Source organism: Homo sapiens, chromosome 21 (assembly GCF_000001405.40).
Source record: "Homo sapiens chromosome 21, GRCh38.p14 Primary Assembly".
NCBI classification, from domain to species: Eukaryota; Metazoa; Chordata; class Mammalia; order Primates; family Hominidae; genus Homo; species Homo sapiens.
In genome coordinates this window covers 36,791,700-36,819,625 of record NC_000021.9, presented here as the reverse complement: position 1 = coordinate 36,819,625, position 27,926 = coordinate 36,791,700, and the positions used below count along the sequence as shown (strand labels likewise).

At 43.2% G+C, this 27,926-nt stretch overlaps 1 protein-coding gene and 1 long non-coding RNA gene across 15 annotated transcripts in view; one reads left to right on the top strand and one right to left on the bottom strand.

The window, feature by feature from the left end:
• Window positions 1-27,926, top strand: part of HLCS (holocarboxylase synthetase) — a 241,587-nt gene that overhangs the window by 170,586 nt on the left and 43,075 nt on the right. The window lies entirely within an intron of this gene.
• LOC105369305 (uncharacterized) overlaps window positions 5,930-27,926 on the bottom strand; it is a 35,810-nt gene continuing 13,813 nt past the window's right edge. The window contains exons 1-2 of the long non-coding RNA XR_937700.3: window positions 7,469-27,926; window positions 5,930-6,258 (exon numbers count right to left, since the gene is read on the bottom strand). The exon at window positions 7,469-27,926 is cut by the window's right edge and continues 13,813 nt beyond it. This is a non-coding gene — a long non-coding RNA (uncharacterized LOC105369305). The remainder of the gene's footprint in view (window positions 6,259-7,468) is intronic.

The following is a 27,926-nucleotide window of genomic DNA, read 5'->3' as shown; positions in this document are numbered from 1 at the left end:
GTGTGTGTAAAACAGATGCTGTATTAGAAGCTTTCCGTAAATGATACTGTCCGTATCATAGCTTGATTATTACAATGTTCAGATATAGCAGAGTTTAGACTGATAACACTGTTTATAGTAGGATTGATGACCCTACAAAGAAGTGGTAGATGCTGATGTGAAAACGAAAGGTCAGAGGAAGTATTACTTTCAGATTTTTTCAGTGTAATATTCGATTCATACAGAAGAGTAAATGCAGCACAGGTGTTCATTATGAAGCGTGGAAACAAAGTGGGCAGGATCATACATCCCTCGTGCTCCTCTCTCATCCTCCCATGCCCACACCCCTCTGGGGAACCCTTCTGCTGGACCTGATGTTTAGCACTGAGGATCAACTTTTGCAAAACTTCAGCCCATTAAGTTGCTATAAATGTCCTGAGTCCAGGTGGCAATCTGAGTCTACTTATTCTCTCTTTAATTCATTCATTTAACAAACACACCATGTGGATTCCCTCCAGTTTCTAGGTGTGCTTCTGTCTTTGTGTTTTCATCTTTCGGAGCCTCCTAAGCTGCTGCTTCCTGCCAGTTCTGTAGGGGCTCAAGCATTTCGTCCTTGGTGTTTCTGGCGTTAGCATCGACGTTGCTTTATAATTTGTCGCAGTCAGTCTTGAGGGCCATCCAGCCATACCCTGTGCTGTTAACAGAGACTCAAAACTAACTCGTCAAGGTGTAATTTCCAGTCAATATTAGGCCCACCGCTATGAACTGTCTTCTGGAGATGGTTTCAGATTTTCGCCTGTAAGGATAGCTGCAGTAAATGCCTGTATAAATGCTCAGCCCCGACTCCATCTTGATAAATGGCTAAATTATCTCTTAATTGAGTACAAGCAAAATACAATGAGAGAAAAAGAGAAGTGTTCAAATACCGCCGCTCCTCCAAGGGAAATTAAGTGCTCTTTCATGTCTGTTTTTTAAAAGTGGGTTTAATGACACCGTTGTGTGGCTAATGCTGGGGAAACACATCCTCCCCCAGCGTAGGCACATAATAACGCTATTTAAGCTCGCTTGTGAAAAAGGCCTTCCCTTGCCGTTTCATGTAGTGTTTCTCATGTGATTACTTGGACAACCTAATGTAAAAATATTTTGGCTGCAGGTGTCACAAGTGACACACTGGCCCCTCTCTCCCCAGTGTGTAGGGACAAAAGCGGGTTCTTTAAGACCTGCACTTTTAATGAACCGTCTTATTTTAGACACTCAGAATCTAATAGTGTGCCTTTTGGTGAAGTTGTTGAGAATTTTAATGCATTTTAGTTCTCATTCATCACGGCCTATGTGCTCCTCGCGGGAGGGTCTTTAGAAATAGGATTAACTTCTAGAGGAATGCATTAGCCATGCCACAGAAGTAGGCAATGTGCTAACTAGTCTGATAGATTGCTCCAACCTTCAAATCCTTCTGGCCGCCCCCCTCACCGACTTTTTTCCCTTTATTGACAGCTTCTCATTGAATGGCTAGAAGCATTAGTGTATTTAGGAGTTAGATGTTTTGTATGATCCTAGGCTGATCTCATATTCCCTTTCTGAAATTAATTCGACACTGCTTTACATGTTAATCCGCAAAGGATTGATTTGGAGAAGGTCAGAGCAGTGCAGCCTCAGAAAATGGAAGAAAAGCTCCACTTAGAACAGCTCATTTCAGTTCCCAGACCTAAGCCTGGCTGCCTTTTCATTGTGACCCTTAGCCAGCTGTAGGCGGCTTGGACATCTCGCAGAATACATCAAACAGTAGGGTTTGATGTGTAGGATCGTTGGACTAATTAAGTTTAGCTTGGTTAACCAATTGCAGTTTGCAAATTGAACAATTGCACTTTGAAAGCGTCTGACACAATAGAACACAGAATCTTCTTTTTTAGGCATAAACATTCCCAATAATGGAGTAGTACTTTTTGAAAGAAGCTTATACCAAATCCACACAGTTTGGATGTCTCTAACGTAAAGTTCGTTTCACTGGTAACAGAACTCCAGTCTCCTTTATTCCAGGAATTGCATGATGTCAAAGGCAAGAAGCCCCAGTGCAGTGGGTGAAGAAGCAGGCGGAGGAGCAGGGTGAGGGAGAGAAATGCCGGTGGGTGGAGGATAGGTGAGTGTTGGAGAATTAGGAGATCTCACATCTTAGAAGAAAATGTTTTTTAATCTTGAGCCATAGTCAGACAAATGTTGGAGAACTGATCACAACTATGGCATAAGATCTGTGATGACTTTTAAAAGACGAAAACCCAGAAAATCAAATTAAGGTGAATGCAGGGTCATTTGGTGGAAAGACTCAGTTTTACAGGGAAGAACAGAGAAACCGATTAAATCCAGACTGAGCAAAGACGTAAATGGTTACAACCAAAGTAATTCCAAGTGCGAGTAAAAAGAAAAAATACCGATGTTTATAATCTACCTTTATATTGAAGGATTGCATGTTAGTTGCTTTTTCATTTTGAAAAGAGTATGGTATGTAATGCATCCGTTATCTGCTGCTTCCATCTTCCACTCTAATCGAGTCTACATCTTCATCGAACGCTTACTCTTCGCTCTGAAAAGTTCCTGCAGCAGCCTGCTGTACTGTAGCCAGGCTGGGTTGCTTGGCGTGGCAGAGGGAAGCCAGCTTTAATCTTGGCCACTGAAAGTCTTACTGGGATCTGAGCAGTGCTCACAGCTGACTCCTCTGATCCTTTGCTGAAGTACTTAGTATATCATCACAAGGCTTTTCTCAGAAGCTTACGAGTCATGGGAAAGGAAATTTTTACCACCAATTTCCCTCACACCTGTGGATGTAAGGCAAGAAGCAGGGAGGACTTACTAGATTCGTGGTGGCTATGAGCTTCTTGCCTTTGGAGCTGTGCCATGTATCTCCACTTCCTGAAGTCAGCGTTTCCGATAGCTCATTTTCTATATCTACAACACATTTCATTGGCTGCATTGGCTTACCCATACAACTGTGTGTCCTGGGACCTCAGTAGAGGCTTAGCTTGATTACTAGAATGGCTGAGTGGCAGAAGGCAATCCAGAGAAGGATGGTTAGTCCCCAGCTTCAGGGTAACACTGAGCAATTCAGAGCTTCATGCAAAGTAGCAAAGAAACAGTAACTACAGTGACAAGGTATTAACAGGCAACGTTACTGAACTCCTCCTGTGTATTTCCTAGACATACGTTATTAAGTTTATCCCCTACAGCAGCCTAGTGACAGTCACATTTTTTTTTTTTTTGAGATAGGGTCTTCCTTTGTCACCCAGGCTGGAGTGCAGTGGTGTGATCACAGCTCACTGCAGCCTTGACCTCCCAGGCTCAAGTGATCCTCCCACCCCAGCCTCCTGAGGAGCTGGGACTACAGGCATGCACCATGTCTGGCCTGGCTAATTTTTAAAATTTTTTATAGAGATGGGGTCTCACTATGTTGCCCCAGTCAGACATTCTTTTATTGATCCCTTTTTATGGATGTAAAAACTGAGGCTAAGAGTAGTATGGAACCCAGGGAGACAGTGTTGGAGCCAGAATTCAGCACAAGTAGTCTGACTCTGGTACTCTTAGCCATTGTACTTTAGAGTCCCCTGAGTTAAAGAAAAACAGTTTCCCACAAGTTAAAACCCAGACCAGTGTCCACATTTGACTAGATGACTAGTGGAGGCATCCTATTCCATGTAATCAATTAATTGAGTAGTGGAATTTCCTGGGTGGGAGAATTGTAGGCTTCTATGAATGACAAGAATAATTACCATTTTCCTAATGACTTTTTTTCTGTCTTGAGTCAAAGGTATCCAGGAACCGGTAAAAATCTCATGTATTTGCCCTGGAGTCTCAGTTGACCATCCTTGGTCTATGTAAACACTCTGAACTAGAACAACTTTTCTCCAGATAACTTTTGGAAAGTGAAGCGAGTGCCTGTTTTGGTGTGTATATAGGTACACACATCACTAAGGGTCAAACCATGGCCAGGTCCCGAAATCTCAATTCACTTTTTAGGGGCACCAATTTGATGAATTCTACACAACCTATCCCCCGTCTTTACTCATTTGTCCAAATGTGACAAGGCATTTGTGTTGGATTCTTAAGCGTACTGCTCTGTTTCTCAGTAATAATATGAGAAGCATGAATGTCTAAAACTGTTTGCTGCTTTTGCTGTGTGTGCATTTTTTGTTGTTGCTATTGTTGCTCAAAACTCATGTCTTAGTGTGGATGACAGTAGTGGTTATTTCTCACAGTGCAGAATTAGAAGAAACCTCAGAAGAGACCAAATCTTTGTATTTCACCTTCACTGTTAGAAAAGCTTCATTGAGGCCAGGTGCAGTGGCTCACGCCTGCAATCCCAGCACTTTGGGGGGCCAAGGCAGGTGGATCATTTGAGGTCTGGAGTTCGAGACCAGCATGACCAACATGGTGAAACCCCGTCTCTACTAAAAATACAAAAAAATTAGTGGGATGTGGTGGCATATGCCTGTAATCCCAGCTACTCAGGAGCCTGAAGCAGGAGAATTGCTTGAACCCAGGAGGCGGAGGTTGCAGAGAGCCGAGATTGCACCACTGCATCCCAGCCTGGGTGACAGAGTGAGACTCCATCAAAAAAAAAAAAAAAAAAAGCAAAGCTTCATTGATCCCTGGCCTCCTTTCCCTCAGCCACACATCCACACACTCACATGGCCTTCCCTGGCCCTCACAGGGCCCCCACTCCTCCACCTGCTTCTCCACCCATTGCACCGGGTCTTCTTGCCTTTGACCCCATGCAATTCCTGGAATAAAGGAGGCTGGAATTCTGTTACCAGTGAAACGAATTTTGAACCAGCAGTATCAGCATTGCCTGGAGAGGGATTAGAAATGGAGAATTCCAGACTCCACGACCCTATCCAATCAGAACCCACATGTTAAATTAACAATGTCCCTGGGTGATTTGTATGCACGTTAAAGTTTGTAAAGGACCACATGGAATTCTACCAAAATAAGGAAGGCTTTATTTTCTCTTTACATTTTCCCTTTTCTCACCTCTACCCCTTCTTAGAGCTGCCTTTTCTCTACTTCCTGGACTACCAGAAAGAGGTAACTGTGTTAATTTCTCATTCCCCATATTATGAATGTTTTGCATAAATTTGCCAGATAAAATCCGGGATGCCCTGTTCATTTTGAGTTTCAGATAAACAACAGATAGCTTTTTAGTGTAAGTATATCCCATGCATGATTTGAGACATACTAAGAAATTATCTGTTGTTTATCTGAAATTCACATTTAAATGGGCATTCTGTATTTTTCTTTGTGAAATCTGACAGCCCTAGTTGGAAGAAAATGATAGTATAGCCCTTTTGGGGAGACAGTGACCATAGACAAAGTATACAAATGATTTTGGAGGAGGAAACCTGCAGAGTCCACCATTTACCTCCCTGGCAAGTACCTTGAAAGGGGTGGGATTGGGGGTTTTGAATAAGATGTCAGTAGGGTCTTTCTCCTTACCTAGGTTGTAGTGTGTTTGGGGGAGAGCAGGAGGAGGTGAGGACAGTGACCATCAAGAGAAAACTCTATTCTATTCTTTCTGAGCCTCCAAAGACCACCACATGAATTAAGCCCTACTCTGGGAAACCCACACTGACCTAGCACTGGGGGCACATTTTTCCACCAGGTGGCTTTAGGGGAGGGACCTGGCAGAATCGAAAATTTGGAGGAGAAAATGCTCTCCATGTGAGTGTTTCCATTTCTACAGGGTTTGAGTTTGGGCTTATTATGTCAGATTTGACTATTAAGTTTTCTTATTTGATGAGGAACACGAAGCTCTCGTTTATTGGCCTCATTAGGTGAAGGTATTACAGGTGTTTCTAAAACAGCTTGTGACCTAATATTTCTTATTGTTAGGTACTTCCAGATGATGGAGTTTGACGAAAATGCCCCAAAGCAATGAAACTCAGATTTAAGGTTTCAACATTTGCCGTGACTCTTTGCTTTTTATGTCATTTAATAAGTTGTGCATACATATTCTAAGGGAAATTATGAGCCGCCTGATTCATTACACATTTTTCCAACTTGTAATTATGTTGGCATCAGATGTTGGCATCCTTTGAAAGAACTGGCATATTACTTGATCATTGTAAATCTCTCAGTACTTTTAACAAAATGGCATTAGAACCATTTTCTTCAAAATTTCCTTTCTCCCATGATCCCTGCTTGGGAAATAGGCAGTGTGGTAGAATTCTTTCAGGACTCATTTGAAAAACTCAACCTTTCAAGAACAAGTCTTCTTGCTATTGGCATACTGACCTGAAAAACATAAATAAGAATGTCTGTGGAGTTCAGGCATGAGTGAGATTATTACAGGAAATTATGACGTGGAAGAAATAGAAGCTAGAATATTAAAACACCAGTTGTTTGGCTGCATGTTTGCGTTGCTTAGTATCATGAGCAAGTTTGTTCAGAGGAATGCTGATTAAAGTTGTAGTCTGGTAAAGTGACATTCCTCGTTACAGCAAAATTATCCATGCAGTTTACATATTTGCAAATATGCATAGCATATTGCCAGAAAACAGGGACCCAAGGCTTCTGGTAGATCTTTTCTTTTCTTCTCTTTTTGAGACAGAATCTCGCTCTGTTGCTCAGGATGAAGTGTAGTGGCATGATCACAGCTCACTGCAACCTTGAACTCCTAGGCTCAGGCAATCCTTCCACCTCAGCTTCCCAAGTAGCTGGGACCATAGGCATGTAGCACCATGCCCGGCTAATTTTTTTATTTTTAATAGAGGCAGGGTCTCACTTTGTTGCCCAGGTTGGTCTTGAAATCCTGGACTCAAGCCATCCTCGCACCTCGGCCTCCCAAAGTGCTGGGATTACAGGTGGGAGCCACCGCGCCAGCCCTGATTTTTTTCTTTTTAAAAGGAGGAAAAGTCAGAGGTGAAAAATTTAGTATTTTTTTCCTCTATTTTTTCTGTATATTGGTATGTTGTCTCTGGCTTGCTCTTTCATATGTAATTTCTTATTTTCAGTTTTCAACATACTAAATTTGGTGAAGAGTACAGTGTCTGTTTTTTGAGGAAATAATTTTCTTAGCAATTTAAACAAACTAAGTCAAAATAATGAGAGCTATATTTTTGAGCTTACAAAGACTCATAAAAATGATTTTCAAACTTATTTTTAAAACTAACATTCTAAGACATAATTTGCTAGATTTCAGTGATAATTTAGGCATATTCATTCTGCGACTAACAGTTGATCAAAAATCAAAGGATAAAGCGTACCGTAAGTGACAGAAAGGATAGGGGGCATTAAAGCTTTAGCTAACATACTCTGTGTGTTAGAAAAATTACAGATAATTCCATAGTAGGTAGATATTTTCCTCCCTCTCCTTGAGATTTGTTGAGAATCTGTTACCTCCCAGTTTGATCAGACTCTGAGAAGGATAGAGAGAGAAGATTTGATACAGAGTTGATTCCGCAAAACCTCAGTAGCTTTCACCTTGACCTGGCTATACACACACCTCAAGCCTCTCGCTTTGTAGAAGGATGCGCTTCCTCATGTTTGTGAGGCAGGTCTGTGGCTCCTGCAAGTTCTTGTTGAGCAGAATGATCATGTGGGGTGGAAGGAGCCACCCAGTGTCCTAGGGGTCCCAGCTAGCCCAGGACAATAAAGACTCACAGGATGCCAAAGCAGGAGGGGGGCTTGGCGAGCTTTTCCCCAACCCCTGGGTTTCACAGGTTAAGAAGCCGAGACCCAGAGAGACACAGTGTCTCTCCCTGATCCTTCAGCAAGTGAGTGGCTGGTCACAGCAGCCGCTGCAGCCCCCGCTGCCAGTCCTCCACCCTTTGGCCACCTCACACCATCTGCAGGCATCGTGTTCAATAGCAGGTGAGGTCACTGAAGCAGGCATTTTGAAAGGTTAGAGACTAATTATGACCAGAGCATTGTTTCATGGGTGTCTTACATGGGAAAGAGGTCTTTTAAAATTATTTGACTTCTGAACCACATTTCTCCAAGGAGCACTACTAAATGAATTTATTTTCATACTTAGTTCTGTAACAAGCAAACTGTGCCATCTGCCAAGTTCCACTGTATCAAGCTGAAGCTTGTTTTCTAACATTGCAGATGGGACATGCATTAGAACAGCAGCAGGGAGGGCATTCGGGCTCTGTACAGGCAGTGGTCGAACTCCCCTCGTTCTTTGGTTCTTGAGGCACAGAGTAGCCTCCTGGAGGCAGAGGTGTCCGCCTCCCTGGCCTCACCTGTCCTGCAGTAGGTTATAGTTTTTGAAGATCAGTTTCTAGAAATGAAGTGATATATATTGTTCATGATCCTAAAAGATAAATAGGTCACTGCTAGCTTGTACTGTAATAGTCTAGAATAATAACATTGTGAAGAGCATGGCAGCTGTACCATGAAAGGGTGAAAGTGTGCTGTTTCTGGGTAGAATCCAGTGAATGAGGAATAGATACGTTATCAGTCCAATAAATGAGAGATACGTCATCAGTTAAAAATGTAACAAATGGTAACAGTGTGAGGTAATACATATGTTAATTAGCTAGATTTAGTAATTTCATAATGTGTAGGTACTTCAAAACGTGTTGTACATGACAAATACATTCAGTTTTATCTGCCAATTAAATGAGTAATATGCTTCTCTTCCTTTTCCTCTCAATCAGCACTGTGGACTATTAAGTCTCTCTTTTCTTCAGAATTTTATTATTAATTATGATCCTTATTCTCTTTGCTCAAATTATCCCAGATTTGGTTTGAAAAGTAGGCTCCCATCTCCTTTTGACAGGGCCTCTTGGATCTTTGATCACTTCCTCACTCTCTGGCATAATAAGGTATTCCAGGCGTAACCTTGTACCCAGCTCTGGAATGAGCTGTTTTTATATTTTACTTTCTACATTTTTAGAAGGAACTCTGGTTCCTTTTAGTGGGGAATGGTATTTAGATACAAAGGTCTGGGAACTTCTTCTTCTGAGAATGGCAGATCAAGATCTTACCAGACAGATCCTCCCACCTCCATCCCTCCCACCCCCACATACAGAAAATAACTATGAAAACTGGGTATAATTCAGAAAGCAGCTGCCTGAAGCCATTGAGAGTGAGCAGAAGCAGGCAAGTTTATGGTGGGAGAACCTCGTTGGGACAAGGTGGGTCTTGAGCTGCACTCTTGAGCTGCACCAAGTAAGCTCAGGGCCAAGGGCAGGTGGTGCAGTGAGAGGGACTCCTAGAAGAAAAGGGCTGGAGAGGGGATCCCCAAATTCTGTTTATATACATCTTTGATCGCTGAACCATACATGCATAGAATAGACTCAGATCACAATAATGACAAAAAAATCTGTGCTTGCTGCCGAAAGGGTCAGAGTTTGCAGTTCAGGTTCAGCTAATTGCCAACCAAAAGAACTAACAGTCATCCAAGAAAAATCGCAAAATCCCAAACCTCTACAGTTTAACCTTCCTCACATCTGGGATACAAAGCTAAAATAACCAACATTTGAAGAACCAAGGAAATAGAATACTGTCTCAAATCAAGAAAAAGAGAAATCAAATGAAGTTCAACCCCAAGGGGAAGCAGATATGGAGAGTCACACAAGGTTTTCCAGTGGCTGTTATAACTATACTAAATGGCTGGGTGCCACGGCTCACGCCTGTAATCCCGACACTTTGGGAAGCTGGGGTGGGCATATTGCTTGAGCCCACCTCAGAGTCTGAGACCAGCCTGGGCAACACAGGGAAACCCCATGTCTACAAAAAATACAAAAATTAGCTGGGCATGGTAGTGTGCCCTTGTAGTCCCAGCTACTGGGGAGGCTCAGGTGGGAGGATTGCTTGGGCCCAGGAGGTCATGGCTGCAGTGAGCCATGATCACACCACTGCACTCCAGCCTGGGTGACAGAGTAAGACCTTGTCTCAAAGCAAAGCAAAACAAAACTATCCTAAATGAAATAACATGATATATGCTCACTATGAATGAAAAGATAAGATAGCTCAGCAGAGAAATAGAATGATAAAAAGAAGAACCAAATGGAAATTCTAGAACTGAAAATAGTTATCTCAAATAAAAATTTACTGAGTGGACTTAACAGCTGAAGGCAGAGAGGGGGAAAATGACAGAGGAAAAAGAGAAAATGGAGCAGAAAAAAATAGTAGAAGAAATAATAGCTAAAAAATTTCAGAATTCAGTGACAAGTAGAAATTTACAGATATAAGATCATATGCTCAAGAAACACCAATAAGAATAAATATTTAAAAATCCCACGCTGGTTCTTGCAAACTTTTGAAAACCAAAGTTGAAGAGCAAATCTTGAAAGCAACAAGAGAAAAGCCATACAGTAATAATCCAGTTAATGGCTGACTTCTCACTGGAAACCTTGCAGACCAGAACGGCATGGAATAACATTTTCAAGGTACTGAAAGAGAATCAGAAAATTCTAACCCAGAATTTTTTTTTTTTTAAGTTGAGGTCTCGCTCTGTTGCCCAGGTTGGAGTGCAGTGGCATGATGTCGGCTCACTGCAATCTCTGCCTCCTGGGTTTGAGCAGTTCTCCTGCCTCAGCCTCCTGAGTAGCTGGGACTACAGGTGCGAACCACCACACCCAGCTATTTTTTGTCTTTTTAGTAGAGACAGGGTCTCACCATGTGGTCCAAGCTAGTCTTGAGCTCCTGCCCTCAAGTGATCCGCTTGCCTCAGCCTCCCAAAGTGCTGGGATTACAGGTGTGAGCCACCACGCCTGCCCTAACCCAGAATTTTATATCTTGTAGAAATATCCTTCTAAGATTGAAGGGAAATAAAGGCATTTTTCGATAAAAGAAAAAAGAATTTATCACCAGCAGACCTGCACTGTAAGAAATGCTGCAGGAACTTCTTTCAGTTAAAGGGAAATAATACCAGTTGGGAACTCAGGTCCTTGGAAAAGAGTAAAGACTACTGGACTGGTAAATATTTGGATCAACACAAAATACTAGTTTTCTTTCTGCTTTTTTCTTCTTAATTTCATTGTTAATCATATAAGAATTTTAAGCAAAAATTATAACACTGTCTTGCGAGGCTTATAACATCTATAGATGAGATACATGTAACAGCTGTAAGGTAAAGACCAGGGGTAGATACGGACCTCGATGGTGAGAAGAGTTCTTTATTATAGAGGTTGTACAGTACTGACTGTAGGCAGACTGTGAAAACTTATATTTCTAACTTGCAGCCAACTTAAAAATGTAAATAAATATGTGTTAAGCCAATAGAAGAACTGAAATGGATATTCAAATAATTTTTTAAAGACAGGAAATGGGGAACAGAGGAAAAAAATTTGATTTTTTTGACTAAATGAGTAAAAGGAAATAGTTTTTTAAAATTAGGTTGTAATAATATGATGAGCTATTCAGTAACCATTTAACCTTGGGTTTTTGAAGAACATGAGCATGGGAAAATGCTCCCAATGTTACATTAAGTGAAAAAAGCAAGATGCTCAGCTAGTGTAGTATGACAACAATTTTTTAAAATACAATGATATAGTCACCCATGTAACATAGAAAAATGCATCAAAGAAAATATACCAAAATGTCTTTTGGTAAAGTCATGAGTGACTTAATGCCTTAGTCTTACTTTTTTTTTTTTTTATTTTCTAGATTTTCTACAATGAACATGAGTTATCACAAAACTTACTTTTTAGCTATTGCCAGAGTCCTAAAGTGGCACGGTAGTGTTTCATTTTATACACTTCACTAAGTTTTTCTAATAGTTTTTAGCTGATTCTTTTAGATTTTCTAAGTGAACAGTTGTGCAATGTGCCCATAATATAACAATTCAGTTATATATTGAGTCATGAGACCTGTTAATGTCTAACTGTCTGCTTTAATGAAGGGGAGTGTCCCTGAGAACATTCAGGCACTGATCAGTGCCCAGACCACAGGGACTCCCACCTCTGGATGCGTCCAGCCGGATCCACAGAACAGGGTCGTGGTGAGGATGAAACGCGGTGATGAACATAAAGTGCCAGACTCTGTACTTGACCATCACATGCTGTCACTCAGTGTTAGCGGTTATTATTGTGAGGACGAACCTCTGGCAGCACATGTTTCTCAGGGCAGGGGACAGAGCTGAACAGTGGCAGCAGCCACACCAGGCAGTGGGCGGATCATCAGAAAGGATGAGTTATTAACAGTGGGCCCCTTAGGGTGGTCAGTTCTGAGCAGCTGTGCCTAAGCATGAATTCTATCTGGCCTGCTTTCCTGATTTTAAAATCCACACCCGTATGGAGATGCTCTCGCTTTTGTGGGCCCTGAATGAATGATGAACAGTAATAATGCTGACATGTGGCCTAGCATGTGGCCTCCCTCCGTAGCTTCTATCATTTCAGGAGGCTCGCCTTGGGAGAATCGGGCTCCAGGTTTATTCCATGAATAAAGAGTGTCTCTGTGGTCCACAGCCTTTGTTGGTCCTGGTGGTCTCTGTCCTCAGGTTTTCATGCTCTTGCGTAAGCCTCTCCCCTTGCAGGTGGGTCGGACCTACTGGATCACTTCTAACAAATCAAATATGGCAAAAGTAATGGGATGGCAACTCCTTTTTTGCACTTCTGGGTGACTTCTGTCTTGCTTGCTTTTCCTCTTCTCCCTACCCCCAGCTCTGAGGGAAGCAAGCTGACGTGCTATGAGTAGCCCCATGGCAAAAGATTAGCAGCTACTGGGGCACCGAGGCCTGTGGCAGACTACAGATGAGGTTGGGAAGGGACAAAGTGGAGGCGGAGCCACCCCCCCAGGCAAGCCTTGAGATGACCACAGTGCCCGCTGACACCTTGAGTGCAGCCTTGTGAGAGACCCTGAGCTAAAGGCATCCTGCTGAGCCAACCCAGACTCCAGGCACACGGAAATCGTGGGTTTCTTAAGTTGTCTCGGGCTGCTTAGTTTTGCGTTCATTTGTTACACAGCAATAGATAAGTAATACGCTCTCTTAAACAACTTAGAGTCTCTGCTGACTTCCCCTACCTCGTCCCATTCCTCCCACATTTAGTCTTCTGGGAATTGCTCTAGTTTCACCATGGGACCCTTTTATTTTTGAAATTTTTCATCAAGGCACCAAATGCCTTTTCTGCCCATTTCTTCATCTTTCCATCTTGCTTCTAGCCCGGCAACCACTTTTTTGCTGTGCGGTCAAAAGATAGCACACTGACCGTCACCTTTCATTTCACTTGGTTTTTTTTTCGGAAACCTCACCTGCTTCTTTCAAAAGTTGTAGAAAGATGTGGCTTCATTGTGATCTAGAGTCCAGAGCAGGGACTCTCAGCCTGCTTTTTGTCTCTGTCATATCTCAAAGATGATGTCACACAGGGAACCACACTGTGGGCCAGGGCAGTGAGGTGGCTTCTGACCACACACAGTTCCCAGTCTCCTAGCTCCAAGCCCTCCCCCTTACCAGCTGTGTGTGTTGGCTTCCTGAGATGAATGGTGGAAAAGGCTCTGGTCCTGACTGTGCTGAACTCAATGGCGATACCTCTGGACTCGAGCAGCATGTCAGTACAGCTTAGCCATGTGACCCAGAACATGTCTGTCTACCAAGTTTCTGTATGTGGGAGGCCTGGACAATGACGGCCGCAATTTCCCTCTCCTTAAATAGAGCTTCAGGGAAAGAATCCCTCTGTAAGTGATAGAAGATGAGCATTTAATATTTTAAACCTGAGCGGAATGATTGTACCATTTGCAAACTGTAATAGGAGCCACCATTGTCCCTGGGCCCATGAAGAGTTATGGAGAAAAGTAGGTCATCACACCTCCTGAAAATATTTGTCAATTGAAAATTAGTTTCTCATAAATTACCTCTTTATTCTTTTAACTCCTACTTCATGAAGTGGACGTCTAGTGATGGACGCCTCTATGCTGTCCCTGTGGCTAGTGGTCTGTTCACACCATTCCTGGCTACGTTAGGTGTCCCCAGTGCAGAGAATTAAGTCATAGTAAAAGTATACTCTGGATTTTACCAAGAGGTCACGGAGAGCCCCTCTTCCCTTGGCAGTCAGCGGCATTCTTATTACACTTCATTTATCTACTTGGGAGGACTCGGGAGGACCAGCTGGGCCCCTGTCTGCACTCATCAAGAGTTAATTTCTGAGCGAGGTGCAGTGGTCATGAACAAGTGCAGAAGGTACCCTGGTGGCCCTGCCAGACAAGAGGGGCCCTTAATTAGCAGCCACGTTCAATCAGGCTGCTTAACCTGCCGCAGAGCTGGGGAGGTCATGTCCTTCCTGCCGCCCTGCCTGTAAACACAGCGCCCGGAGCCGGGCCCGGGACTCCGTGCGGCCTGGGAGGAGGAAGGTACCTGGAAGCAAGGAAGACAGTGCAGACCCGAACCTGACCCACTTCCAGGGGATACCTGGACTCTGCTGTTACTCTTGATGGAGTAGTGAGGGTTAACCGAGAGAGAAATTTTTTTTTCTTTAAAATTTGGAGGCATCTTTTGTCCTTGCCAACTTCATATTTCCCAAGCTGGACATCTTACTGGCTTGCTTTCTTTGCTATTAAAAAAAGTATTACTTATGTCGTCATGTTTCTGGCATCGCCTAGGGCTAGCCATGCACTGAGACCTCTTGCTGTAGTGGAAAGTCGGAATCCTTCACCGATTTTGTAGCCTTGCTTAATCTCTCCACAATGTCCTTTGCTCAGATACAAAACAAGGATGATTGTACTGGCCCTGCCACCTCATGGAGCTGTTAAGAGGGAACCATGGAGAGACAGTTTGTCAACTGTCAAACCCTGTGTCAAATATCAGCTGATAGAATTGGACGCCAGGATTGGAGTGCTTTTACTTGGCTCATTCATTATAGGTAGCCAAGGTCCATTTTTATTTTAACAGTCACATATAGAATACCAAAAACCTGATGTTGTTGGTAGATGTTTTATACCGTTTTAGAAACGCCATCTACTATGGCAGCAGTTAGTAAATAGCAAATAAATACAAGCACTTGCCCACGTTCTGGCCAGGAAACTCAAATCTTAAATGCCCTTTGAGGACCACAGAGGGTCAGAGAGATGGGGATGGCAGGAGGAGGAAGGGATAGGAGGGTTATTTTTAGCTCCATAGGACATCTTGCTTAGTCATGAGACACTCCAGGTGTTTGCCTGGGGAAACTTCAGGTGGGCTGTGGCATTTAGTCAGCTACCTAGGTCATGGTGGGTAATTCTGGGACAACCTGCTGTAGGGTTCTTGAGCAGCCTCTTCAGTGTCCTCTGGAGAAGCTCAGCTTCTGATGGTATATGGAGGAACCCAGCGGCTTCTGGGATCCCAGCCTATGAGTAATTCGAGTTACTTAGCACAGTGGCTCGAAATTCCTTCTGGTGATCAAAGAACCCACAAAACAGAATAGGAGGCAGCGCCCCATGCCCTTGTCAGTGAGGCAGAGTGTAACTTGGGAGTTTCAGATGAGTGGCAGTTACCGTACCTGCTGGGAGCGTTGCATTGAACCCAGGGACCAGCCAAGAGGAACTAATGGACCCCGTGGAAGATCATTTGAGCCTCAGCTACGGGAAGAGCTGGATGCAGGCCGGGGAAGCGGATTGGTGGACTGCACATTCATTTAAGGTTGAAATGCTTAGCATTGTAAAGGTGACTGTGAATTTTAAGCTTCATTCTTTATTGACCTGGCAGATGGGAGAGTGCTGTGTCTTGGTGTAATGAAGCATTATGTTGGTACAGTGAAAAGGAAACTGCCTTCCTGGCTGGAATTCGGTCTCCCTAAAAGCTCATGGTCTGGTGAGGTGGATGGCTTGGGAGTGAATGTGTGTATGTGTGTGTGCACAGACGTTGTTCCTGATGGGGAAATTGAGACCCAATTGCCCATCAAATTGCCCGATTCTACCTGGTGGTTTCCTGAAATGGATGTTTGATAGCAAATCCATTCCTGTATTGCAGGCTTTTTTTTTTTTTCAATAAAAAAACAAACAAAACAAAACAAAACACTTTGGAAGTTTTTTTCACCTTATGAGTTTTTTTTTCTTTCTTTCTACTTCTGCTTTGGAAACATGGAAATGATTCATGTAGAGAAAAAAATAATTGAAATTGAGGAATAAATCAGTTGCGGGATACTTCTTACAGCCAAAACCTGTCGGGGCTCTGAGCTCTGTAAGGGAATGCCAAAAGCAAGCTGCTGCCTCCAGAAGCCTCGCTGTGCGCCTCGTGGGCATAAACTGGAACCTTGGCAATAAACTTCTGCACACAAGGTCGCCCTGTGCGAGCGTTTCTGGAATCCAGATTTAATACTGCATACAACACCTTGTTTTGAAAAGAGAAGATCACTGCTTTCAATGTTATGGAAGTCTATTCCATGCTGAACATCGAAATACTGATGCTCTCTAGGCAGAGACCATGGAGAAGGAAGCTGGGGACGTTTTGTCCTCCCTGCTGCCTGCCTGCAGGAGTGGACTCAGCTGAGACTGTGCCATGAGCCTCCTTCTCATCACAAAGGCCGGCTTGTCAATGGAAGAAGATGTGCCAGACAGCCACTTCACACCCAGCTCAGTGACGCCTTGGGCTTTGTGGACCTAGTAGTGTGTTCTGACCTGTCTTCAAACTCCATCCACCCGGTTGTCACCATGACAATGAGTATTCCACATGGGTTTCATGTCTAGTTAAGGGGACAGGGTTAGGAACTGGACCCTGATCGCCCAGAGTTTTTCTTCACATCCATAATTTTGATTTAATCATGTTCACCCATATCTACACCCATCTCTTTGACCTCTAAAATAAGAATTAGAAGTCTTATTTTGAGATTATCAGGATATTAACTTCTATTTCAGTTTTGAAACACTCCCTGTACTGGCTCATATATGACTATGGACTGGTGAAAGCCTGCTCTCAGGCTGTTCCGTTGAATTGTGTGGGGATCGTGCCTTTTTTATGGAACTACACAACACTGGATCCCATTGGGAGTGAAAAGGTAACCCTACTTCTGTCATAAATCTGTTTTATCACAGGATCTCTGTTCTTCTTGAAGTTCAGTACGACGCAAAGAAAAGTGGAAAGGGCTTGAGATTTGGATGCGGAGGTCAGGGAATGAAGCCTTGGCTGTGCCACTCATCTGCTTGGATGCTAAATGACTTCTCCAAGCCGCAGTTTCTTCACCTGGAAAATGGCAATAACAATAGCAACTTTTCAACTTTTTTTATTGACTAAATTTTCTGAATGAATAAATAAGACATAGTGAAAAGTGCCGTGTAAACATCTGTAAAGTACAAGGCAGATGTTAATTGTCCACGGAGAGAATGTTTATGACACAGAAAACAGTGATTCCCAACCCTATTTCATTTTTCTCCTGGGCGCATAGTCCCCTTTCAGTTGGGCTGGCGTTGCCTGGACAACCAACAGACAGATGGACATGAAGTACGCTTCTTCCAGGCCTGGCCCATGAGATTCTCCCACTGTCCCTTTCCCCTTATGCTGCAATCTTGGAGGCCTTGTGGGAAAATGGCGGCATCCCAAGTTGCAAGAGGCCTGTGGCCCTCAGTCACTGCTTGGAGGAGAGCTGCCTGACTAGCCCTGGACTTGGGCCACTGCAGTTGGACTTGTTTCAGCTAATGTTAGCCTGCCTCGATGAATCACAATTTTGAAAGAGAATATTATTTGCTACTGTTAGTGTATAAAATAGTTGTATTCTTGTATACCTTATGTCATATACATTATGAATATTGTTATTAAAGAATATTATATATATCATATTGCTGCTAAAATTGCAAATGAAAATAAGATCAATGCTGAATGCAGTGGCTCACACCTGTAGTCCCAATACTTTGGGAGGCCAAGGCATGAGGATTGCTTGAGACCAGGAGTTTGAGACCAGCTTGGGCAACATAGTTAGATAACTGTCTCTATAAAAGAAATTAAAAAATTTAAAAAAAAAAAAGAAAGGAAATCAATCTGTTTGCAATTTTTATAAATAGAACATAACTACTCACAGTGAAGCAAATTAATATCTGAAGTTTTGCTAAATTTTTGTGCATCCCTTGACTAGGAAGGAAAGTTAATAGACTCTCTGAGATCCATTCATGCTAGAAACATTAATAATAATAAAAAGATGAACTGCCACTGATTAAGTACTTACTGTGCACCAGACATGCTATGCCAAAAGCTTTGTAGACAGGATGGGCATGTGCCTTGCAATGAGATGGCAGATGTGGCCTTGATCTATGTATTTGTTCTTTCTTTCAAATTATTTTTATTCCTGTTAAAATTGAACTATGAGACAGATGCCTGTGTTTTTTTCCTTTTCTTGATTGTCATAACCTCTCCGATTGTTATAATAGAATGTGGCACAGATGATTTGGGCTGGAGAGCTAATTATGCATGATAACCTGATTTCTAAAATATCACAGGATAGAGGCAACTACTAAAATCAATTTCTAGCGGTCAGTTGCAGGTTGAAAAGTTACTTGCGTCTCTATTGTGAACTGGGTGTGTTTTGGCTGGCACGAATGACAAGGGTAATCATTGAGGGGGCATTGACGGCTTACCAGTGATTGACCAGTCTGGTCTTTAATTTTCCTACATAAATATGTTCAGCTGCATATTTATGTAGGAAATACATAAATTTCCGGCATGTCCCATGTCATCAGCCTCAGGCATCCCAGAACAATGTCCATAATACAATCTCCATTCAGGCGAATGTTGCCATGGATGACACAGCTACATATCACAGCCATGGATGCTTTGTGATGAAGCCACTTCAGACTTGTCATCTCATCTCTTTCCTTCAACACCTCTCTCCGCCCCTCAACTAAGTGGAGGGAATTAACACTGTCCACTTAGAAATGGCAGCCAACACTGAACTTGCTATTCTTGGTGGGTTCCATAATACCTGGGCTTGCGTTGTGAAGTTTTGTGAGTTAGGCTGTTTTAAGGTAACAGATGATGGAAAGAGAATTTTTAGTTACTGTCTTTTACTTGAAGTGAAGCAAACATTCTGAAGATGGGAGAGAATATCGCGTAGTATTATAGCTGAGCCATAGTCCGTGGAACCCCATAGCCTGATGACCTAGGTTCAAGTCCCAGCCCTGCCATTTTGGTGGGTTTTAGTTTCCTTAACCTATGAAGTGGGAGTAATTCTAGTACCTTCCTGCCTCTGTTTCCTCACTGGTACAACGGGGTTAATAATAGTGCTGCTCCATAGGATGAATAATTTCCCATAAACTGCCAAGAGCGGTACCGGCAGGGAGCCACCCTCAGCTTTCCTTGTGACTGTTATCATTCCTGTGACTGCATCTGTTCCATACCTGATGGAGAGCTTGGTCACAGAGTCTCTGTTTTCTCAGCTGATTGTTCAAATGACTGCTGTTTCTTTGTGTCTCTTTGTTCACCAAGTAGTTACGGAGTACCCACTGTGTGCCAGGAGTGCATTCTAAGTGTGCCCACATCTGTGTCTTCTGTTTTCAGCATGAAAACATATGTTTCTGCTGATCCCTGCCAGCATCAACAAGTAGTGCCTCATCCCTCAGGCTCTCACCATGGTCCTCTTTGATGATGGAGTGGTGGGGTCAAGCTGGCCACAGAGTCTGCGGGGTCATTTGAGCTCACAGTGATTTGTCCAGAAGTTGTTTTCCTGTGTTTTCAGTGTCTAATGTTGATCACGGTTCATAAATGTGGAAATGGTGGAAATGGGTCATAGGAAACTCACACCACCCTGATTAGAAAGAGGGACGGCTGGATTTTCCTCACGGGGCTTGCGTGTCTAAATGTTTACATTTTATTCTTATTAGTTGTCCACAAACAACCCTATGATTTTGGCTAGTTACTGAATTTCTATTTTTCCAAATTTGAGAACTGAGGCTTAGAAAACTGGAGCAACTTTCTGAGCCTCTGGGCTGAATTCGGGACTCTGATTTGTAGGGTCAAGTTTTCGGCTCCTTGGAAATCTGGCAGATCCAAATTGGATGGAACTGTGTTGGACGTTGTTGGCACTGCTTACAGATGAGAGAGGCTGGGGAGACCCAGCACTTCGTTAACACAGGCCGACGAAAGTATGTGAGTGAGCATGCAGGTGGGGTGTTCAGGCCGCAGCCCCTTCCCTTCTCTATGTCTGTGTCCTACAGAGTGTCCCTTAGTCCCCTGCCTTAAGAATCATCTCTAAATTGATGGTTTCCAAGGTGGTATCTCTGATCTCTTCCCTCACCTCCAGATTCTCACATTTATTTGCTGCCTGGATATATAAATAAACTGTAGTTCAACTCAGATATAATTTTTACATATCCAGGAGACATCTTAAAATTAACTTGCCCTAGTATTCAAGACTATGCGTGTTGGTGTAAGGATAGAGATATACAGATGAATGGAACAGGGTAAGTGTCCAGAAGTAGACTCACCTGTGTGTGGCCAGTTGATGTTTGATAAAAGTGCCAAGGTCATTCAGTGGAGAAAAGATAGCCATTTCAATAAATGGTACTTGAACCATTGAATATCTGCCTGCATAGGAAAAAAATCTCAACTGTTACATGACACCATATGGAAAAATTAAGTCAAAACGGATCATAGACCTAAATTTAGTTGCAAAAACTGTTAAGCTTCTCAGAGAATATATTTGTGACATTGGAGTAGGGAAAGATTTCTTAAATGAGACACAAAAAGCATGAACTATAAAAGAAAAAATGATTAAAATGGACTTTGATCTAAAAAAACTTCTTTTTTTTATAAAACACAGTTTAAAAATGGAAAAGGTAAGCCACAGACTGGGAGAAAATATTTGCAAGACATATATCTGACAAAGGACATATAGCCAGAATATATAAAGAACCTTACGACTCAATATTAAGACAACTCAATTTTTTTAAAAGGCAAAAATTTGAAAAGACACTTCAGCAAAGAAAATTTATAAATTCCTAAAGGCACATGAGAAAATGCTCAGTGTCACCAGTCTTCAGAGAAATGCAAATTAACACTATGATAAGATACCACTTCACATGCATTAGTAGGGCTGAACTTAAAAAAGACTGACAATACCAAATGTTGACAAGAATGTGGAGAAACTGGAACTCTCATGTGTTACTGGTGGGAATGCAGAATGATAACAGCCACTTTTGAAAACAGTCTGGAATTTATCTTGGGTAAATCCCTAGGAATGGCATTACTGGATGATACATAGTGAGCAGATCAATCAGTCAGTCAATCAGTTGATAGATGGATGCCTTTCCAAGATAAATGAAAACATTTGTCCATACAAAGACTGTATGTAGATATTCATAGCAGCTTTATTTGAATAACCCCAAACTGGAAACAACATAAATAGTCATCATTTGGTGAACGGATAAACAAATTACTAGAATACAACTAGGAATCCAAGCAATATAAAAGAACAAAATATTAATTTGTGTGACAGCATGGGTGAATCTTGAAAATATTATGCTAAGTGAAAATTCATAGTCCTCACCTCCCTGGAAGCCCTGTGTGATTGCCTCCCTTCCTCCCCCAAATACCTGCACACACACATACACACACTGTGCACACACTTCATCCAGTGGTCTGGGCCTCCTCGTTGGGCCTCAGGTCAAGCACACGCTACTACCTCCATCCTTTGTGTTTACTCTTCTCCCTGCCCGGATCGTTCCTTGCCAAGGTAGCTTCCCGAGTCTCTCACTTCCTTCAAGTCTCTGCTCACGTGTTAGCTTATCAGAGAGGGCTTCTCCCCACCATCCTTAGCTCTCACTACTTCTTCTCTAACCCCACAACCCAATATTTGTGTCTGTATTTGCATATTTGTTGAGTGTCTGACTCCTCCTGCCAGAACGTAAGCCTACTTGGTCTACTGCTGTATTTCTCGGTCTCTAGAACAGTGTTACATAGTAAATGCTCAATAAACCAGTGTTAAGTCAACATGTGAATGCACAGAATTAGGAATGCAGGCGTCAGGGCAGGGTGAGGCTTCAGACCGTGTGTGCCCACCAAGTTGCAAACCATTGCATCCTACGCTAACGGCTCTCTCCATTAGCCTTCTCAATTTTTCTTCTGCTGAGCAGGCTCTGGCTCAGTTCAGCTTTGAGAAACAGTTGAAATCCACACCAAGAATAAGTGCAGATGCATTTAATTCCTCATTAATCTGATATGTTTAAATGGATTATTGGGAAATTCTTCCTAATGGTTTTGCAAAGATGTTAACTTAGAGCTTTTTACACAGGGAACTTCCCAAGTGATGCACAGCCCATTGATTAATCATTAGTTCTCCCCTCTACTATTTATGAAAACACAAACATAAGCAAAGCTAGGAGAAAAATTATATTTTTATTATATTAATTTTAATGTTAATAAAAAATAAATATTATTTCTAATAATATTTATAAAATGTTGGTCTTAAATGCTATTAAAACAACTGTGGATATGGGAGCCAATACTCTTTTCTGACATTATCACTCTATTATGTTGCTGAATATTTGTTTTAAGGCCAGATTGGAAGGTTTTCAGACATAGCACAAAATACTGTCTTTGGATGGTACAGCCATGAGTTATGTCAGGGCAGTGTTAAGAGAGATCGTGATAGGCTGGGAGCTGTGGCTCACCCCTGTAATCCCAGCACTTTGAGAGGCCGAGGCGGGTGGATCACTTGAGGTCAGGAGTTTGAGATACGCCTGGCCAACATGGTAAAACCCCGTCTCTACTAAAAATACAAAAATTAGCCGGGTGTGGTTGTGTGCACCTATAGTCCCAGCTACTTGGGAGGCTGAGGCTGGAGAATTGCTTGAACCTGGGAGGTGGAGGTTGCAGTGAGCCGAGATCACTCCACTGTACTCTAGCCTGGGCAATAGAGTGAGACTCCATTGCAGGAAAAAAAAAAAAAGATCATGATAAAAAGTCACTTTAATAAACTTGTGGATTTAGGTCTGATTATTTTTGTTTCTGTAGGTGCTGCATTGCTTGTCTCTCCTGAATTTTTATTTCTGGAAGTTATTATTCATAAACATGGGTCCCCCACATATCCCTCAGTAGAAGAGTCAAAGGGAGAGCTAACATTGAAAGTAGTTTTTCTTCCTTCTTTGTTAGTGGCCCCGATAATGTTTGGTAGAGTCTGTGGGAAGACTGGAAGGCTCAGATGGTGCATGGGATCATTTCCTGGTTTGGGGAAGTCTCCCAACGCCCTGGATTATCCGAGTCCTGGTTCCTCACAGCTCTCGTGGGCCCTGCTTATACATCTAAAACAGATTGCTGTAAAATGCTTAAATAGTAAAAAGAAATATGCTTTTGGGAATTAGAGAATCTAATAAAATCATTAAATTGATCAGACTAATAGATCATTTGGACTGACCTAGGGCTACTGAAATTACCAAATGTCTGTTCTGCATCTATTCAGAAAATCATGTGATTTTCCTCATTTTGCCCACCCATATGTTATGTATTATGTTGATACATTTTTCTGATGTTAAACCATCCTTGCATTTCTAGGATAAACAATATCTGATTATAATACACATAAGATGTAGCATTGAATTCAGTTAACTAGCATTTTATTCATGATTTTCACATCTGTGTGTTTAAGTGTTTGGGGTTTTTTATTTTCTTGTCCACTATCTGGTTGAAGAATTGAGATTATACTAGAATCATGAAGCGAGTCAGGCAACTTTCCCTCATTTTCTAATTCGTGGGACATAATGGGCTGTGTTTAGAGTTACAGATTGCAACTATTTTGAGTCCCAGGTGTGCTTGGTTTACTAAATCCACCAAAATATTTTTTTAAAACCTTGTCCTTAATTAACCTTTTAAATTAAAAAGATGCTTTTCTAGTTTCACTGTTTTTCTTTTTTCCACTGAATGACCTAAATTAACTGTTTGGTTAATTTTTAATGAATATTTATTCGCTCATTCATTTGACATTTATTTAGATGTATTGGGCATTTGCTGTGCACAGGGCACTATCCCAGGCACTGGGGGAGGAATTAATGGCAGGATCTCTGCCCTCAGTTCCTCCAAAAGGGAAACAGAGCTTGTCCACAGTTAGTAATAACTTACTCCCTAAGGCAGGATGTCTCAGGCTATGACAGGACAGGGTTGGACTGCTTGGGGCCTTCAGACATCTGTCTCTCAGGGAATACTAATTTTGCATATTTCTTGAGCTGTAAAGGAGTCATGGCCCCAAATTTCTGGTTTCTGTTAGAAATATAACTATTTGTCAAATGTTTATAAAATGACTACCGTATGCTAGGCAGAGTATGGAGCATAGCAACTATGAAATCTGTTTCAGTAGCTTGGTCCAGAACCCTCAGTATTTGGAAAGTTGCATATTGTCATCATTTACTCCCATTTTGATTATATTAAGAAAGTATGTGAGGGCATGAGCCTCTCAGGAGGGGACCTCAGTGTTTCCGGATCCCTCCTGCCCTCTGTGGGACCTAGATGCTGGCTAGCTGAGCACCGTCAATGTGTCCTCGCAGAAGACGAAGCGCATTTCCTTTCTTCTCTTTTTTGCGGTTCCAGTGTGATGACATGGCTTGGTCACCATGCTTCGTGTTTGCTAAAAAGAAACCAGGGATATGAGTTTCTGAATTCTCAACCTGGTGCCTTTGCCAGAGAACAAAGTCAGGTTAATCAGACGTCTTCCCCTCTCCAGCCCAACTCATTCGCTGGCTGACCTCTCCTGGTCCCATGGTTCTAAGAACCATCTCCACGATAATGATTCCCAAATGAATATCCTAGCCCAGACCTCTCCCTCCCACTCCAGACTTCTGCTTGGATTCCGTGGGCTGTCTCATAGGCATCTTATGCTTGCTACATCTAAGTCCAGCACCAGATTCCACCCTCCAGCCTGCTCAGCCCTTGCCTCCTGCTTTTGGGAAACGGCACATCGCTTTTTCCTTGAGTTGTGTGTGCCAGAAGTCGTGAACTCACCCTTGACTCCATCTTCCTTTCAGGAGCTCAGTTCATCATCAGGTCCTCTTTGTTCCACTTTCAAAATGTGCAGAACACATCTCTTTCTTCCTTCCACCAGGCTGTTTTCCATGTGGCAGCCAGGTGAATTCCTTTAAAATGTAACTTAGTTATCTCATCCCTGTTAGCTTAGAAAGGCTCAGTGTTGCTTCCTACTTCATTCAGTAAAAAATCCAGAGTTCTTACTATGACCTGCACACTTCCAAATCTGTCCCCCAACCAGCATAACCCTTATTCCTATTCCCCCCAACCCCATACGCACAGAGTGTGCTTCAGCCACGTCGGTCACCTTTTTGTTCCTCTCCAATCCCACTGAGGGCCTTTGGCCTTGCCGCTGCCTCTGCCTGGAATAGTCCTCTGTCACATGTCTTCATGGTATGCTCTCACTATCTTCTTTCTGAACAAATGCCTTATTGCAGCAGCCTTCAGGGACCACTTGAACACCCCATCCTTTGTCCTTCCTTGTACCCCTTATCTGCTGTATTTTGTTTTCACTGCATTGACACATTATGCATTTATGTCTCTCTCCCACCGCCTTGCACACACATACTAGAATGCCAGCTCCCTGGGTGCAGAGACAGAGCATTTGTTCACAGAAACAACCCCAGAGCCTGGAGAGGGCCTGGCACAAAGTTGCCGAATCATCTGTATCCTCATGGGTTTGCTCCCAGGAGCTCAGAGATCGCCTCTTTGGAAAAGTTGCGGCAGGGAGGCCAGAATGAGCCAAGCGTAACCCAGTCACACCCGTAGCTCGTCCTTAGTAGAAGCTAAGAATCCAGGGCAGGTCTGAAAGCACATTCACAGGGTGCTCTGAGGCTTCTAAACAGCTGTCCACATAGGCACTAACTTGGTATATCCTCCTGACAACCCTATGACTGAAGCAGCATCTTCATGAGAGATGCTTTCGATGGGAGAGGTTAAGTAACTTGTCTGAGGTCTCTTGGCCGTAAAGGGACAATATTGCACCAGCAGCCACATGCCTGACCATTTATGTAGCTTCTGACTAGCACTAAATTTCTTTAAGGTCTGATTTATCTCTAACATGCTTGTAAATTTTGCATAATTTTTACTCCATAATTCTGGTACATGTTTGTTTTAATATAAAAATAACAGTTGATCCTACCAGCTTACTCACTCCACTTTTTTGCTTCTTGGGCTAAAAGTGACACACCAATAAGATTGCATCCTGGCTGGGCGCGGTGGCTCACACCTGTAACCCCAGCACTTTGGGAGGCCGAGGCGGGTGGATCACAAGGTCCGGAGTTCAAGACCAGCCTGGCCAACATGGAGAAACTCTGTCTCTACTAAAAATACAAAAATTATTTGGGCATGGTGGTGCATGCCTGTAATCCCAGCTACTTGGGAGGCTGAGGAAGGAGAATTGCTTGAACTGGGGCCCAGGAGGCAGAGGTAGAAGTGAGCCAAGATTGCGCCACTGCACTCCAGCCTGGGCAACAGAGCGAGACTCTATCTCAAAAAAAAAAAAAAAAAAGACTGCTTCCTGCTGTCCCGTGTTCTCCGAGCCCTCCGACAGGCACACACCTGTGGATGATCTTAGAACTCATGTAAGCAGCGGGGGTCGTAGAGAAAATGAATCGGTACCTAAGGCAATGTGCAGAAGTGAATGGAGCAATAGAAAGAAGAATTATTTGATGTAAACTAAAGATCTCAACAACTCGAATCAGGTTATTTAATCAGGAATCAAAAGCGCATGAGGGGTTCAAGTCCAACTGCAAAGCTTGGGGTTCTGGAGGACCACAGATGCAGCTGCCCCCAAGGATGCTGAGCATGTGACTACACATGCAAATGAAAGGGAAACAAAACCAAATGGATGGGGTGATGGGCAGAGTTAAGGTCTAGACAGCATTTTGAGATCTTTGCTGTCCTCACCATGAGTCACTCTAGAAAGCCTGGGGGTCACATGACTGAGGGGACACAGCCCTTTCCCCAGAGCCTCTCCCTGCATCCTCTCGTTCTTGCCCCTGGCTGCTGGCTCAGGAGGCACCACGTGTTGTAACAGCTCTGTGGTTCTGGAGTGAGACACAGGTTGTTGGCTTCGTTACTTGGGGATGAATGTTTGTCATAGGTACTGGGCATGCCTCTTGACAGCCATGTGACCCTGGATGAGTAACTTCAGTTCTCTGAGCAGGTGCCTCATCTACAAATGGGGATTGTCATTGCTCCCATCAGTCTAAGGAGGAAATGAAATCATAAGTAGCAGCTCACTCTGGACTGACGTAGCACAATTGGCTGATGATCATGGTCGTCCTCCTCCTCCCCCCGCTCCCTTCCCTTCCATCCCTTCCCTCCCCCTCTCCCTTCCCTCCCCCCCTTCTCCTTTTCTTGTCATCATCAGGGTAAATCGAAGGAAAGAGCCATTTTTGCAGGTCTAAACGGTTGAATGTTAGGGATTTCACATGGTTCCACCTGCTACTTCTGCTCTGACCACTGATAACAGTGACACACAGATGGCAGCCGTCCCTGGTCACACAGATGCCAAAGTGAGCTCATTCTCCTGCTGTGTGACAGAAGAAAAGGCTGACGGTCCCCAGAGCGTAGCGCTGGGAGCCTGCGGGGTAGCCGCCGGGTGATTTACCAGGGTCCCCTTCTAGGTTTCACTATTGGCACCTGGTTAATGGGAAGGGGATTTAGGGACCCGGTGCTGAGATGGTCTTTTACTGTTCTTCAGAGCAAAGTCCTGTGAACGCTGACAGGTAGCGCACTCACCTTCTAGGTTTGAAAGCTCGCTTGTTCCTGTCTGTGTGGCTGGCCCACACCTAACTGCCATGAGGTTTTTTTCCGCTGCCTTTCTGATGGCTTCACAGTGGGAAACCTGCTGTGTCCATCCCAGCCAGCCCTTTCTTTGTGAAAGTGGTAAGAAGATAACCCCATTCTAACTTGGTTGTTCTTTTTTCCTTTCCTTTTGCAAAGAGTGCTTTTGCCGGGGGTGGGGTGGGAGGCTGCAAGGGTTTTGGAGCCATGGAAACTTAATCCTTGTGTGTCCAGCAAACAGGCCCCTTGGAGCAGCCGCATTCCATGCAGCCCCGTGGCACCCGCTTCCGTGGCCCTCGAGGGCCCACCCTCGAGG